Source organism: Homo sapiens, chromosome 1, assembly GCF_000001405.40.
Source record: "Homo sapiens chromosome 1, GRCh38.p14 Primary Assembly".
Lineage (NCBI taxonomy): Eukaryota > Metazoa > Chordata > Mammalia > Primates > Hominidae > Homo > Homo sapiens.
The window spans coordinates 51,837,658-51,853,674 of NC_000001.11; the positions used below are offsets into that span (position 1 = coordinate 51,837,658).

A 16,017-nucleotide genomic window follows, 5' to 3' on the forward strand; every position below is an offset into this window, starting at 1 on the left:
AAAAATTCAGACCTGAGAAATTCATACTTGAGAACTGAATTAAGAAAGCCCTGAACAAATCTTAATTCAATGTATATCATATTCAAATTTCAACCTTGTTAATTTATCAAACTTTTAAAATCAAGAACAACTTCTTTTGGGAGGAGGAAAACGGAGAGGGATAAAAAAGATGCCTCAGAAAAGTAGTTAACTTCTTAATTAGGTAAATGTTATTCAAAAAACGATCAAATATCTTTCTTCTCAATTCCTTTATTAATTCTCACATTTACCTTAAACAAGTTTCACACATTTTTCAAATAAAACTTAGATCATAAAACCACTCTTAAGCCACCTCTTACCAAGGCTAATCTACTTTATTTCCTTTTTTCAGAGAGTTATTCAACAAATATAAACATTTACCACTTACGATCGTGGGATCTTTCCTTTCACTAGTGAACCCATTGCTTCTGAATCAAAACAATTTCTCGTCTTCAAACTACTTAGGTTCCACTGTCCCGGTAGGATAATCCATAAAATTAGCTGTCAATATCTTATAAGGATTATATCACACTGAGTTCTCAGAAAAGAAAGGTAGCATCTAAGCCATTTTAAAAACGATCACTAGACTCTGACCCTGCTGCTAGAAAAGATCAACTTAGAATTTGATCTACCTAAGCAAAATAAAAAGGGGTACCAAAAAGGCTGAACAGACATGTTCATTTGTCAAAGGTGTTCACAATTGCTGTATAAATCTAAAGTATTTTATAATGTCTTGACATTTAAAATGCCTGTCGAGACAATTTTTAACTGTTTTTAAATGCTTTGTCAGTTAATAGGAAATATAAACAAGTCAGATCATGGGAAAAGCTACTTACAGATAGATGGAAAGATATAGAAAAAAAGTATAGATAAGAAGTATTCAGTTAAGAAGTTATAACATGGTCTGGCTTAGAGCTAAAATAGGCCTCAGAATTTTATATTCTTGTTTTAAAACTGAGAAAAAAAAGAAAGAAAATGAAAACACCTAAAATCACGCAGAAAGAAAGGAACAGAGCCAGAAGTAGAACCCAGGTTTCCTGACTGTCAGTGTTCTTTTTTTTTGTGACTTTTATAATTTCTTCCTATTAATGCTCTATTTGGAATTATGAGATCTATTTTAAGTTAAAAGTGAATCTATTAATTTCCAATCTGTTCATAGAGACCTTAGCATACAGACTATCAAGTGACATATATATACCTTTTTTTCCCCCAGTGTTTTGATGTTCATCTCTACAGCCTTCCAAGTTAAAACTATTTAATACTTGGTCTATCATGCTACCCAAAAACAGGATCACTAATAATCTGAGTAGTAAACAGGAAAAAGCTTCTTAAAAATATTACTCAATCCAACAACTTAGTAAAAAACTGGTACAATCTTTCTTTTTAAAAAATAATTTTTTCCAAGAAGAATAACTATTAAATCATATCTACTACTTATACCTCAACTCTTCCCACCTTTAAGGGTGACCACTTTTTTTCTTTTTCTTTTTTTTTTTTTTTTTGAGACAAAGTCTCACTCTGTTGGCCAGGGTGGAGTGCAGTGGTGTAATCAAAGCTCACTGCAACCTTAACCTCCCTGGGCTCAGGTGATCCTCCCATCTTCAGCCTGTCAAGTAGCTGGAACCACAGGCATGTGCCACCACACCCAGCTAATTTTTTTTAATGTTTTAGAGAGACAGGGTTTCACCACATTACCTAGGCTAGTCTCAGAACTCCTGGACTCAAGTGATCTGCCCATCTCGGCCTCTTTGTATGTAGACTGTACCATGTTGAATATATTATCAATATTCAAGAAACTAGCTTTAACTAACTTTTGCTGGTCAATTCCACTGTACTGGCTCCGAAAATTATCCTCTGGGTACTCCCTACTATGAAAATGGAGGTATTCTTCAAAAGATATTAAGAAATTCTCCCTATCAAGACTTATTTATCTATCCACTGATGGTTGTTACATATTAAATAAGCTTAACTGCCCAGTTTCTATTTCAACTCTTCCAAAGTACTTATTTGTCCAGACCTTTGCGTTCCCATATAAAGTGCTAAATCAAACTCAATTATCTAATTATCTATATAGAAGCCACCCATACAATAACTCTTAGAGCCCTAGGCCCATGTAAAGATTTCACACTAGCCCCATTCTTTTCTTCTTCTTTTTCCAGTCTCACCAAGGATAACATACTCTTATTTCTCTAATCCAGGCTAAGAATTCTGCAGCTCCTCATCTACCAGTATTTGTTTTTAAAACATATAATGTATACAAATACACATAAATTCAAATACCTCTGAGTGTTGATTACCTCTGAGAGATATAGCTATGGGTGATTTTTATATTTTTGTTTTCTTTATATTCCATTAGTTTATATAATGAGCATTTACTACTTTTATAATTGGAGGAAAATGTTTTCAAAATGTAATCCTGATACAGAATAGACCTTTACTGAAGACCAAAAGATAACTATATACTTCCTTTTTGCCATTAAAAAATAAAGCTTGAGTTTAGAAGTTACCCAAAGAATTCCCAAATTAGAAGAAAACAGACATGACTCGCACCTGTTTTTCAGTAGTTTTTTTTCTAGCTTCTGCTCTCTCTTCTAATTCTTCCAATTCATTATCCTCAGTATCAAGATCATCATCATGTTCATCATCAAACTCATCTTCATCATCAAAACCCTCTTCATCGTCATCTTCTATTTCAGCTCCAGAATCTTCATCATCATCTTCTTCTTCTTCCTCCACCTCCTCTTCTTCTTCATCATCTGTTGTATTTCCTGTTTTACCTTCCATATTACTTAGGTCTGAAATCAGAAGTGCCTGCAAGCCATTCTGTAATTTGATGTATCTGGGGGGAGAAAAAAAAAATCACACATTTTGATTCAGCTGTTCTTTACACCAATACAAGTAATCAGCTTAGCAGAATTTTAAAAAAAGAATCCAAGTAAAAGTACAAACACACACACACACAACTATTTGTAAACTAATAAAATTGGTTGCTCTGGAGAGGGAACCCCAAAAGCTAATCAGTTTTTGAACAGCTGGAGGGAAATGAAGGTAAGAACACTTCATAATATACGCTGTTTGTATTTTTAAATTTTGAACTACATAAATATATTTACCTATTCAAAAAACACATTTTAGTAGCTAAAGATATGCAACTCACCACTCAGCCTCCCCTATTTCTCAGTTTGTAAGTATTTAAACATTCTATCATACCAGAAGACTTAGGCTAAGATAAATTGTATCCCTCAATATACAGAACAGTCATGTCAGCTTAATATTAAAGCAAAATCACACAAAATTAAACTGCTGATTTTCTTTTCTATAAAATGTTTGACATATCAGTCTCCAAAGCTGCCTTTATGAACTAAAAAGTGGTTATATCTCTATGAAAATGAAATCCCCCACAGACTGGTAGCCCCGCAGGAAGATTATTCTGCTTTTTTTGAGACAGAGTTTGCTTTACTGCCCAGGCTGATTTTAAACTCTTGGGCTCAAGCAGCTCACCTCAGCCTCCTGAGTGGCTGGGATTACAGGCATGTGCCACCATCTCAAGCTCCTGATTCTTATCTGCAAAACTACTGTGCCAGTTTGATGACTAGGTATCTATTACAGACCACTCCCATTTACACTAATTTTTTTTTTCCTTTTTCTTTGAGACAAGGTCTCACTCTGTTGTGTAGGCTAGAGTGCAGTGGCACGATCTCAGCTCACTGCAGCCTCGACCACCTGGGCTCAGGCAATCCTCCCACCTCAGTCTCCAGAGTAGCTGGGATCACAGGCACAGGCCACCATACCTGGCTAATTTTTGTATTTTTTTAGAGACAGGGTTTTGCCATGTTACCCAAGCTGGTCTTGAACTCCTGGGCTCAAGCAATCCACCCATCTTGGCCCCACAAAGTGCTGGGACTACAGGCATAAGCCATCGCATTCAGCCCCATTTATACTAATTTTTTCATGTATTTATTCAATAAACATTTATTTAGCACCCTTTACATATCAGATATCATGCTGCATTAAGGATAAAAAGGATAAAACAAAATTCCTCATCATCAGGCATTCACTGTCTAATAATGAGATGAGCCAGTATAATACAGAATGACAGAGATAAATACAGAATGTAAGAAACAAGCAGTCAGGGAAGGCGTCTAAGACAAGGTACACTTAAAAAGTCAAGCAAAAACTAAGAATAACATGCAAAGAAAGACAAGGAAGAGAACCTTTGGCCTAAGATGGAAGACTGAACACTGGGATTTATCTACTTTCCATATAAAATAATCACATTTGGAGCTCAGGAGTTCAAGACCAGCAGGCAACGTAGCGAAACCTCATTTCTACAAAAAATACAAAAAATTAGCCTGGCATGGTGGCATGCGCCTGTAGTCCCATCTACTTAGGAGGCTGAGGTTGGGAGGATGATTTGAGCCCAGGAGGTCCAGGCTGCAGCGAGCCCAGATCGGGCCACTTTACTCCAGTCTGGGTGAAAAATGAGACCCTGTCCCAAAAATTAATAAATAAATAATAAAAAATAATCACATTTAAGTGATAGAAAAAATGTTTGGTTTTTTTTTTTTTGGTTTTTGAAAATAAAATCATGACAGACAGAAAACAGGAAAGGACACTGTTAGCAGATTACAAATTTTTAGAAATCATTAGAAGACATGCAAATTTGATCAGATTAATGGAGAAAACCACAGACCTATAAACATGTAGTAAGATATTGGTTCTTCCCAGGAAACCCTAGAAAAAGTCTAAGCTTCAGATCAATAAATAAGAGCAAAGAGAGCCTCAGGGCAATAAGCTCAATTATGTAAACTGGAAGCAATCCAAGTCTACTGACAGCAGAATAAAAAAACTGTGGTATATTCATATAATGAAAATTTTCTTCACAGTGGAATATTGTAACACAGGGAAATACAGAATTCAGCAACAAACTACGACAGTGGTTAATCTTAAAAACATGAGTGAAAAAAGCAAATCACAAAAAAATACTATATGAGTACCATTCACATAATGCCAAAAAACAAGCAAAAGTAAACAGTATATTATTTAGGTATACATATATATCCAACTTTTTTTAAGCAAAAGAATGATAAACACAAAATGCAAAACAGGGCAGGGCACAGTGGCTTGCGCCTATAATCCCCGCACTTTGGGAAGCCGAGGCAGGTAGATTGCTGGAGTCCAGGAGTTCAAGATCAGCCTGGGTAACATGGCAAAACCCCATCTCTACAAAAAAAAATACAAAAATTAGCTAGGCATGGTGTATCTATGGTCCCAGCTACTCCAGAGGCTGAGGTGGGAGGATGGCTTAAGCCCGGGACATGGAAGTTGCCGTGAGCCACGTTCATGCCACTGCACTCCAGCCTGGGCAACAGAGCAAAAACCTGTCTCAAAAAAAAAAAAAAAAAAAAAAGCTAACTACTTGTTGGGGTGGGAGGGCAGGGCAACATGTAAGGATACAGAGGGATTAAAATGTTCAAGACCACCAGAAGTAGACAGCAATATGCCACCTCTAAATATGCCTCCTTGGCATAAGGATTGTTGAACTGAAGGCAATTAAAAAGCAGATGCAGGAAAGCTCTCTGCTATCCACTTGCCTAAAAGCAAGACATAAATTTACTCCAAAGACAAAAAAGGTTAAAAAAAAAAAAAAAAAACCCAACCCCTGTTTACCGTGGAAGAACACAAGTTAACCACCAAATACAACTTTACACCTGTATTGGTCTGGATACGACACCAAAGGAATCCACATTAACAAGTTTACTAATTATGCTTTGCCTGCCATTATTTGCCTTTCTACAAGTTGCTGCCCCTACAGACTCAAAGTCCTTTTTCTTTGTCTTGACACTTTGCTAAACATTTGTTGAAGATACTATATAAGCAGGAATTAAAAGCCAACTCATTCTGAGTATCTCCCATGTATTTATGAATTATACATGTTAACAAACTTATATTTGTTTTTCTTTTGTTACAGGGGACCATTCCAAATAATAACTTATGAGGGTTGAAAAAAATTATTTTCCTCCCTTACACAACCCAACAGCAGGACAAGTTAAAATCCAAGAGCTATTTTCCAAGAATATGAACAATCTGTCCAGAAATAAATTCTAAGATGAATCTCAGAGATGCAGAATCATAGAGAAGCAGTTTGAGGTAGTCCCAATATCTGTATCAGATACCAACTCAGGTTGGGGGAAAAAAAAAAAAAGCCAGGGAAGGGGAACTTTACTTGGTCTTTGTAAGGTGCATTTTTTTTCCAGCTTAAATTTTTCATAAACAGAACAGAAAAAATCTAAAAATCTACTATCAAAATAATCCTATGCATTCTACTTTCAAAATAAATCACAATTCTGATAACTTCTCATCAACTCTACAGCTATTTCCTTAGAGCATGTTGTCATCGTGTCTAATCTCCTCCTAACTCTCTGTTTCCATTCTAACCTCAATACCCTGGCTATACTCGCCTCCACCACCACCATCCCCCGACGCCCCAACACACCTCAAGTCAATTCTCAGCAGGCTAAGTAAAGCAAATGAGCCCTGCTATGGGCTGAAATGTGTTCCCCCCAAAATCCTATGTTGAATCCTTAAACCCTACTACCTCAGGATGTGATTGTATTTAGAGACAGGGCCTTTAAAGAGGTAATTAAGCTAAACATCAGGCCTCTAAAGTAGGTCTGAATCCAATCTGAATGGTATCCTTATAAAATGAAGAAATTTGGAAACACGATGGTACACCAGATATGTGTGCACACAGAGAAAAGACCATGTGAGGAGATACCAAGGAGAAGGCCAACCGCAAGCCAGAAAGGCCTCAGAAGAAACCGAATAGGGCCGAAGAGGACGGATCATGAGGTCAGGATATCAAGACCATCCTGGCCAACATGGTGAAACCCCGTCTCTACTAAAAATACAAAAAAATTAGCCAGGCATGGCGGCGCGTGCCTGTAGTCTGTCTCAGCTACTCGGGAGGCTGAGGCAGAATTGCTTGAACCCGGGAGGCGAAGGCTGCAGTGAGCCGAGATGGCGCCACTGCACTCCAGCCTGGGCGACAGAGCAAGACTCAGGAAGAAAGGAATTCCGGAAGGGAGGGACGGAGGGAGGGGGGAGGGGGGAAGGGGAGGAGGGGGGAGGGAGGGAGGAAAGAAGGAAGGAAGGAAGGAAGGAAGGAAGGAAGGAAGGAAGGAAGGAAGGAAGGAAGGAAGGAAGGAAGGAAACCAAATAGGCTGACAGCTTGATCTTGAACTTCTAGACCCCAGAGCTGTTATTTAAGCTACTCTGTCTTTGATATTTTGTTATGGCAGCCTTAGCAAATTAATACAAGGCCATTTCCCTTTTCAAAATTCATCATTGGCTTCCCATCATACTTAAAATCCAAAATCCTTACCATGGCCTATACAATGCTCAACATAATCTCGTTCTCATTTACCTCTCCAACCTTCTTTCCCACTACTCTTCCTTCATTCTGTTTGCTCTAAACAAATGACTTTATTGTTGTTTCCTAAACACTGCCAACAGACTCTCAGTCCAGGGCCTTCGTGCTTGCTGTTCTGTTGGCCTTAGGGGCCCTTGACCCAGATAAAGTATGTGCCCGACTGCTCTACCTCTTTCAAGTCTTTCATGAAATGTCTCCTTTTGGCCCGGCCGCAGTGGCTCACACCCGTAATCCCAGCACTTCGGAAGGCCAAGGCGGGCAGATCACTTGAGGTCGGGAGTTAAAGACCAGCCTGGCCAACAATGGCGAAAACCCGACTCTATTAAGAATACAAATATTAGCTTGTGTGGTGGCATACGCCTGTAGTCCCAGCTACTCAGGAAGCTGAAGCAGGAGAATCACTCGAACCCGGGAGGCGGAGGTTGCAGTGAGCCAGGATTGCACCACAGCACTCCAGCCTGGGCGACAGAGCGAGACTCCGTCACAAAAAAAAGAAAAGAAAAGAAAAGAAATGTCCCGTTTTCAGAAATGCCTTCTCTGACCACACTACCTAAAATAGCTCTTTCGCCCATTTCTATTCTCTTTTATCCTACTTTAACCTTCTTCGCACCATTTATCATTACTTGATTTTATTTTCTGCCTGCACCATTAGAATGTTATCTCTGAGGACAGAGCTTTTCTTTCCTTCACAGCTATATCCTGGGACAACACCAGGCATATATATACCAAACATTTAATAAACAGATATTGAATAAACAAAAGAATGTTAACGCCTGGAGGGGACCTGATACATAGTAGGTACTTAATATCTACTTAATGAAACAAAATGAGACAAAATCTAACACCTAATTTAAAAAAAAAAGAAAGCTATGTGTACAACATGTATCCATTAAATGCATATAAAGTTACAACAACAGAACTAAAAGTACACAAATCAAATGGAATGGTAATGTATATATCTGGGGAAAGGAGAAAAACTAGAGATACAAAGATATTTTACACTTTATAATTTTTTTTTTTTTGAGACCAAGCCTCACTCTGACGCCCAGGTTGGAGTGCAGTGGTGCCGTCTCGGCTCACTGCAACCTCCACTTCCCAGGTTCAAAGTGATTCTCCTGCCTTAAGCTCCCGGGTAGCTGGGACCACAGGCGTGCACCACCGCACCTGGTTAATTTTTTTATTTTTAATAGAGACGGGGTTTTCACCATGTTGGCCAGGCTGGTCTCAAATTCCTGACCTCAAGTGATCCACCCGCCTCGGTCTCCCAAAGTGCAGGAATTACAGACATGAGCCACCGTGCACAGCCGACACTTTATAATTCTTAAAACATTTTCACTCTTTTTGTGTCTGGAATTGTTGGGTTCTTGGTCTCACTGACTTCAAGAATGAAGCCGCGGAGCCCCGCGGTGAGTGTTACAGTTCTTAAAAGCGGCTTGTTTGGAGTTTGTTCTTTCCAATGTTCGGATGTGTTCAGAGTTTCTTCCTGCCTGTGGGTTCGTACTCTCGCTGGCTTCAGGAGTGAAGCTGCAGACCTTCAGGGTGAGTGTTATAGCTCATAAAGGTAGTGAGAACCCAAAAAGTGAACACCAACAAGATTTATCGCCAACAGCGATGGAACTCGACCCAAGTGGGTTATCACCCCAGGAGCCTGCAGCCTGCTTTTATTCTTATCTGGCCCCACCCACATCCTGCTGATTGGTCCATTTTACAGAGAGCCGATTGGTCTGTTCTACAGAGAGCTGATTGGTCCATTTTGACAGGATGCTGATTGGTGTGTTTACAATTCCTGAGCTAGACACAAAAGTTCTCCACCTCCCCACTAGATTAGCTAGATACAGAGTGCTGATTGGTGCATTTACAAACCCTGAGCTAGACACAGAGTGCTGATTGGTGCATTCACAAACCTTGAGATAGACACAGAGTGCCGATTGGTGCATTCACAATCCTTTAGCTAGACATAAAGGTTCTCCAAGTCCCCACCAGATCAGCTAGACACAGAGTGCAGATTGGTGCATTTACAAACCTTGAGCTAGACACAGAGTGCTGATTGGTGAATTCACAAACCCTGAGCTAGACACAGGGTGCTGATTGGTGTGTTCATTAACCTCGAGCTAGGCACAGAGTGCTGACTGGTGTATCCACAATCCCCCCAGCTAGACATAAAGGTTCTCCGAGTCCCCACTAGACTCAGGATCCCAGCTGGCTTCACCCAGTGGATCCAGCACCGGGCCAGCAGGTGGAACTGCCTGCCAATCCCCTGCCTTGCGCCCGCACTCCTCAGCCCTTGGGCGATGGATGGGACTGGGCGCCGTGGAGCAGGGGGCGGCGCTCGTTGGGGAGGCTCGGGGAGTGCAGGAGACCACGGCGGGGTGGGAGGCTCAGGCACGGCGGGCTGCAGGTCCCGAGCCCTGCCCTGCGGGGAGTCAGCTAAGGCCCGGCGAGAAATCGAGCGCAGCGCCAGTGGGCTGGCACTGCTGGGTGACCTGACGCACCCTCCGCAGCTGCTGGCCTGGGTGCTAAGCCCCTCACTGCCAGGGGCCAGCGGCCACTCTGAGTGCGGGCCCGCCAAGCCCACGCCCACCTGGAACTCTAGCTGGCTCACAAGCCCCTCGTGCAACCCCGGTTCCCGCCCGTGCCTCTCCCTCCACACCTCCCCGCAGGCTGAGGGAGCCGGCTCCAGCCTCCGCCATCCCAGGAACGGGCTCCCACAGTGCAGCGGCGGCCTGAAGAGCCCCTCAAGCACAGCCAGAGTGGGCACCGAGGCCGAGGAGGCGCCAAGAGCAAGCGAGGGCTGTGAGGGCTGCCAGCACGCTGTCACCTCTCATTTTGTAATAAAAAATATTCATTTATGATTTGTACAATAAAAATGATTTTGTAAAAATACACAACTCACTCCTTAGCAAATTAAGAACCTACACATAAAGCCCTTAGCTTTATGGAGGATCACGTCTATAAATCAACATCAAATCCATTTTAAAGACAGTCATGAACAAAATGTCCTTTATCGTCACTACTATTCAATATTATATTGGAGGTCCTAATAAATGAAAAAAGATGCAAAATGTATATAAATAAAAAATAATTACGGTGGGGCGCGGTGGCCCACGCCTGTAATCCCAGCACTTTGAGAGGCCAAGGCGGGCGGATCACAAGGTCAGAATATCAAGACCATCCTGGCTAACACAGTGAAACCCCGTCTCTACTAAAAATACAAAAAAAGAAAATTAGACAGGCGTGGTGGCAGGCGCCTGTAGTCCCAGCTACTCAGGAGGCTGGGGCAGGAGAATGGCGTGAACCCGGGAGGCGGAGCTTGCAGTGAGCCGAGATAGCGCCACGGCACTCTAGCCTGAATGACAGAGCGAGACTCCGTCTCAAAAAATAATAATAATAATAATAAGGTACAAATATCGAAAGCTAAAACAAATCACTGCAAAACATATTATTACCTAGAACAAGAGAATTACCAAAAACAAAACCCAAAAACTATTATTAATAAATAGAATTCAGCAAAGTAGCCAAAATCAAAGAACTATAAACAAAAATCAGTAGCTTTCCTATACATCAAAGTAAGATTTTTTTAAAATCCCTTTGGCCAAAGCAATATAAACTATAAAATGCATAAATATACCTAATAACAATAGCTCACATTTTTAATGTATTAACTTACATGTCTTAACCCAGTTAATCTTCACAATAATCCTGATGAGTTATTCCCATTTTATGGATGAGGAAACTGAAGCACAAAAAAGGTCTGTTATTTGCCCAACCTTATTGTGGCTTAGCAAAGACCGACTCTAAGTAGCATGACACTAGAACACATTCTTTTCAATACTACTAAACAGCCAACATTAGGAAAACTTTACAGGTGAAATGAAAGACCTCACTAAACAGTCATACTATATTACTGGGTGGGAACATCCAATATTATAAAGATACCAATTCTTCCCCCAAATTAATCTATAAATTCAAGGCAATTCCCATAAAAAACCCCAACAAGGGCCGGATGCGGTGGCTCACGCCTGTAATCCTAGCACTTTGGGAGGCCGAGACGGGCGGATCACAAGGTCTGGAGATCCAGACCATCCTGGCTAACACAGTGAAACCCCGTCTCTACTAAAAATACAAAAAAATAAAAATAAAAATAGCCAGGCATGGTGGTGAGCGCCTGTAGTCCCAGCTATACGGGAGGCTGAGGCAGGAGAATGACTGAGACAGGAGAATGGCGTGAACTCGGGAGGCGGAGCTTGCAGTGAGCCGAGATCCCGCCACTGCACTACAACTTGGGCGACAGGGCAAGACTCCTTCTCAAAAAAACAAAACAAAACAAAAAAAACCCAACAAGATTTTTTTGTGGAACTTGACATACTGATTCTAAAATTCATGTGGACCAAAACACACAAAAATGCCAAGAACATTTTGAAAAAGATGGCCGGGCACGGTGGCTCACGCCTGTAATCCCGGCACTTTGGAAGGTGGAGGTGGATGGATCACGAGGTCAGGAAATCAAGACCATCCTGGCTAACACGGTGAAACCCCGTCTCTACTAAAAATACAAAAAATTAGCCGGGCATGGTGGCTGGCACCTGTAGTCCCAGCTACCCGGGAGGCTGAGGCAGGAGAATGGTGTGAACCAGGGAGGCGGAGCTTGCAGTGAGCCGAGATCGCGCCATTGCACTCCAGCCGGGGCGACAGAGCGAGACTCTGTCTCAAAAACAAAAAAAAAGAAAGAAAAGGAAAGGAAGAACAAGGGGAAGGAACTGCCTTACCAGGTATAAAAATACAGACTTTAGGCTGGGTGTAGTGGCCCACGCCTCTAATCCCAGCACTTTGGGAGGCTAAGGCAGGCAGATCACTTGAGCCCAGGAGTTCATGATCAGCCTGCCCAACATGGCGAAACCCTTCGCTACTAAAAATACAAAAATTAGCCAGGTTGGTGGTGCGTGCCTGTAATCCCAGCTACTCTGGAGGCTGAGGCACAAGAATCACTTGAACCCAGGAGGCGGAGGTTGCAGTGAGCCAAGATTACACCACTGCACTCCAGCCCGGGCAACAGAGCGAGACTCTATCTCAAAAAAAAATAATAATAAATAAATAAATAAAAATACAGACTTTTAAGGTGACTGAAATGAAGCTGAAGTACTAACAGGAACACCAACAGATCAATGAAAGCCAAGAGTTTCTAAAAACAGAGCAGTGTATATAATACTGTTACAATGCCATTTACTACCACAACTCAACAAATGATGCTCAAACAATAGGCTACTCATTTAGTGAGGAAAAAATAGCCATGTCTACCTTACCTTCAACATATATAAATTCCAGATTACTTAGAGCTGAAACAGAACAGGGACACCTTTTAAGGGCCTGTGGGCCCCTAAGCATAGAAATACAAGAAAATATTAAGTTCTTTCAAGGGAAATTTCTGGCACCTAGCTAGCCTTGGAAAGTAAACATGCAACTTAATAAGCAAGTAATAGTAACTTTAAAATAGCCAAGGAAGTCAGAGTCATGAGAACGTTTGCTTCCCTACAGAAACTAAAGATAACATCTCAACATCTGTCACTTCAGTTGTTTTTCAGAAACCTGAACTCCCAGCAAAAGGATCTGCGGGCACACAGACCTCAGATAAGGAGGAACTGGGTACTGAACTCGTCTGCTATCCTGAAATTTACCCCTGCCTTTAAAAACTGTTACCTGCAAATCATAGGGGAGGTCAGAATTTAAGGGTTAGTCACCTGGTCCTCCTTGCTTGACACCCTGTAAATAAACACCATGCCTTCCTTTCTACCACTGCAAAATCTTGGTGTGGATATCTGGCCTTATTGGACTGGGTGAGCCAACTCCGGTTTGGTTCTCTAAACACCGGCAACCAAAATGGGACAAAAGTCTGGAGTGGGTGCCTCATCTGTACCACATAAGTCCCTGGCCGCAGCCACCCTTGGGCCCAATCCAGCAGCTGCCTGAATTATTTTATTCAGGGACAGATCCGTGTATTTGGCAGGCAATCAGACACCGTTGGCCTGTGGTGCTTCTACTTTCACAGCATTAGAAATAAATCACCTGAGAAGATGTCTTTTGGTAAGTGGGGGGTTGATGTGTGATAGCCCCATAGTATTTTTCCTTTCAGCAGGAAATCCAGCCTTGCTTCAGCAAGGTATTGGGCTCTACTTCATCAGAATGCACTTGGTGGGAGATATCCCAGAGCTGAAGACTGAAACCTTGAAAAATCACAATTTGATTGTGATTTACTTGCTTGAAAATCTATTTAATACTTAACACCTGGCCAAGGCATTAAAGGTTTGTCACCTAGGTTTTGCGACAAACCTTTAATGCCTTGTCCAGGGTTTTGTTTCATTTGAGAAACACAAGTTCTATTTCCTTTGTAGCCCATTAGGGTGTATTCTGCAGAATTGGGCCATTTTTAGATTTGGGCCCAAGGAAAAAAAAAAAATGATTTTTTTTTAATTGCAGTAGTGCTTGGCCACAGTATTTTTTAAGACTCCAGAAAAAAGCCTGAAAAGGGGAACCTTTAAACTGGACCCCTAAATTTTAAAATAATCTCAGGCATCTCTCTAAACAATTGCTTTTACAAAAAAAAGTTATTTTCTAAACAAATTTTACAAAGGACACTTAATAGTGTCATGACTAGCCTTGAGAATTCACTTGACTAAATTAAAGAACAAATATCTCACCTAAAACAAGGTTAAAATCCTTTGCAAGCTCAAAACTGCCTGCTTTAGATCCCCTCCAGGAACAGCAGTGGTAAAGCACTGAGGCTGCCTGGGTTGAATTCCCAGCCAAGGAACACATCATTTTTTGGTTTAATATTTGTGTGACTTTTGCCATTTATCGTTCCTTTTTCCTTCTATGGGCAGCTTTTGATTTCCTGTCCTCCATCTGTGAGGGGGGCAGCCTACAGGTTTTTTGGTATGCTTTTTGGTACACGTTGTGTGTGTGAATGGTCAGCTGAGAAACTGAGGCTCTAGAGAATATGGCCAAACAGAAATGTGGTCTGTACTCCATTTATGGCTGACGAAATTTTCCTCTCTTTAAGCTGTCTTTGGGGCAGCTCTGAATCTTGTGAAAACTGCTTTCCACCTCTTTCGAGACCTCATGTGTCCTTGTTGAAGTCATAACCCTGGCTAACGCTTCTTAGTTTCATGGGGGAGAATATCTTTGGGGTGAAAAGAGTTCAAAAGCCAGAAATATCAACTGTTTGTCCCAGCTAAAAATCTGATAGTAAGAGATTTGAAAGGATATTTTTTTAAGAACTCTATACTCAAAAGTCTAATTAAAACTAATATTTAGGCCATATTTGTGTATGTATATATAACTATATATATAAAATTATATAACTATAACTATATATACATTATATATAACATGTATATGAGGCCTTAAAACTATATTTATATAGTTTTAAACTATAGTTTATATATATAGTTTTAATAGTTTTATATATTTATAGTTTTTTTAATAGTTTTATATATAGTTTTTTATAGTTTTTTATGTGAGCCTCCATGCCCGGCCACTTTTCTTATTTTCTCTGTCTACTACTGGCTTAGCAAATTCTGTGTGCTGCCCTGGAGTCTTAATTACTTCAGGTGATCACACTGAACTATAAATATAATTGCCTTTTTGTTATGCTTCCTTGTGGACTTTCATCCTCCCAAATTAAAAGGGCAATTTTATAATTAGAATTTCTGAGACGTTGACAAAGACAGGTAACCTATAGATATATCATCTGACCCAGCTAATAGAACAATGATACTCAAGTTCCTTCAATCATCATAATCTGAGGGCCCCTTTCAGAATATTACATAAAAGAATTCCTGGCCAGGCACGGTGGCTCATGCCTATAATCCCAGCACTTTGGGAGGCCGAGGCGGGTAGATCATGGTGTCAGGAGTTCGAGACCAGCCTGACCAACATGGTGAAACCCTGTCTCTACTAAAAATACAAAAAAATTAGCCAGATGTGGTGGCGTGTGCCTGTAATCTCAGCTACTCGGAAGGCTGAGGCAGGAGAATCGCTTGAACCTGGGAGGCGGAGGTTGCAGTGAGCCAAGACATGGCACTCCAGCCTGGGTGACAGAGGGAGACTGTCTCCAAAAAAAAATATATATATATATATTATATAAAAGAATTCCTTTATTTTGGAAGTCCCTTCACTTGAAGCTTCAAACAAATTTGCCAGAAATAATGAGACTCTGCCTCTATATAAAAGGCTTACTTGATTTTGCCTCTTGAGAGGAGCAAGAGCCCTGCTCCCTCCTTAGAAGTCTGCTCTCTAAACATGTCAGAAATCCCGTATCTTAGCTGCAAGTAAATTAACTCATTAAAAGTAAACAAGTCCACATACTCACTTTGGGATCCACAAATCTATTCTTGCCCAGGTACTAAAAAGATGGATGCGGGTTATTTCTTTGGATGGACTTTGTTACCTTGGTGGGGAGTGGCATCCTATGAGCACATGATTAGAAATCTCTCTCTTTAGGAATTCTTGCTAAGGAAACTTCAGCAGCAATAGCTGTCTAGCAGAAAAGAATTAATTCATTGGCTCAGGTG

At 40.9% G+C, this 16,017-nt stretch overlaps 1 protein-coding gene across 3 annotated transcripts in view; it reads right to left on the reverse strand.

The window, feature by feature from the left end:
- The window catches only part of NRDC (nardilysin convertase), an 89,518-nt gene that overhangs the window by 48,448 nt on the left and 25,053 nt on the right, over positions 1-16,017 (reverse strand). For all 3 annotated transcript variants that reach the window (NM_001101662.2, NM_002525.3, NM_001242361.2), the window contains exon 2: positions 2,569-2,857. In NM_001101662.2, coding sequence (NP_001095132.1) covers positions 2,569-2,857 — 289 coding nt within the window. The remainder of the gene's footprint in view (positions 1-2,568; positions 2,858-16,017) is intronic.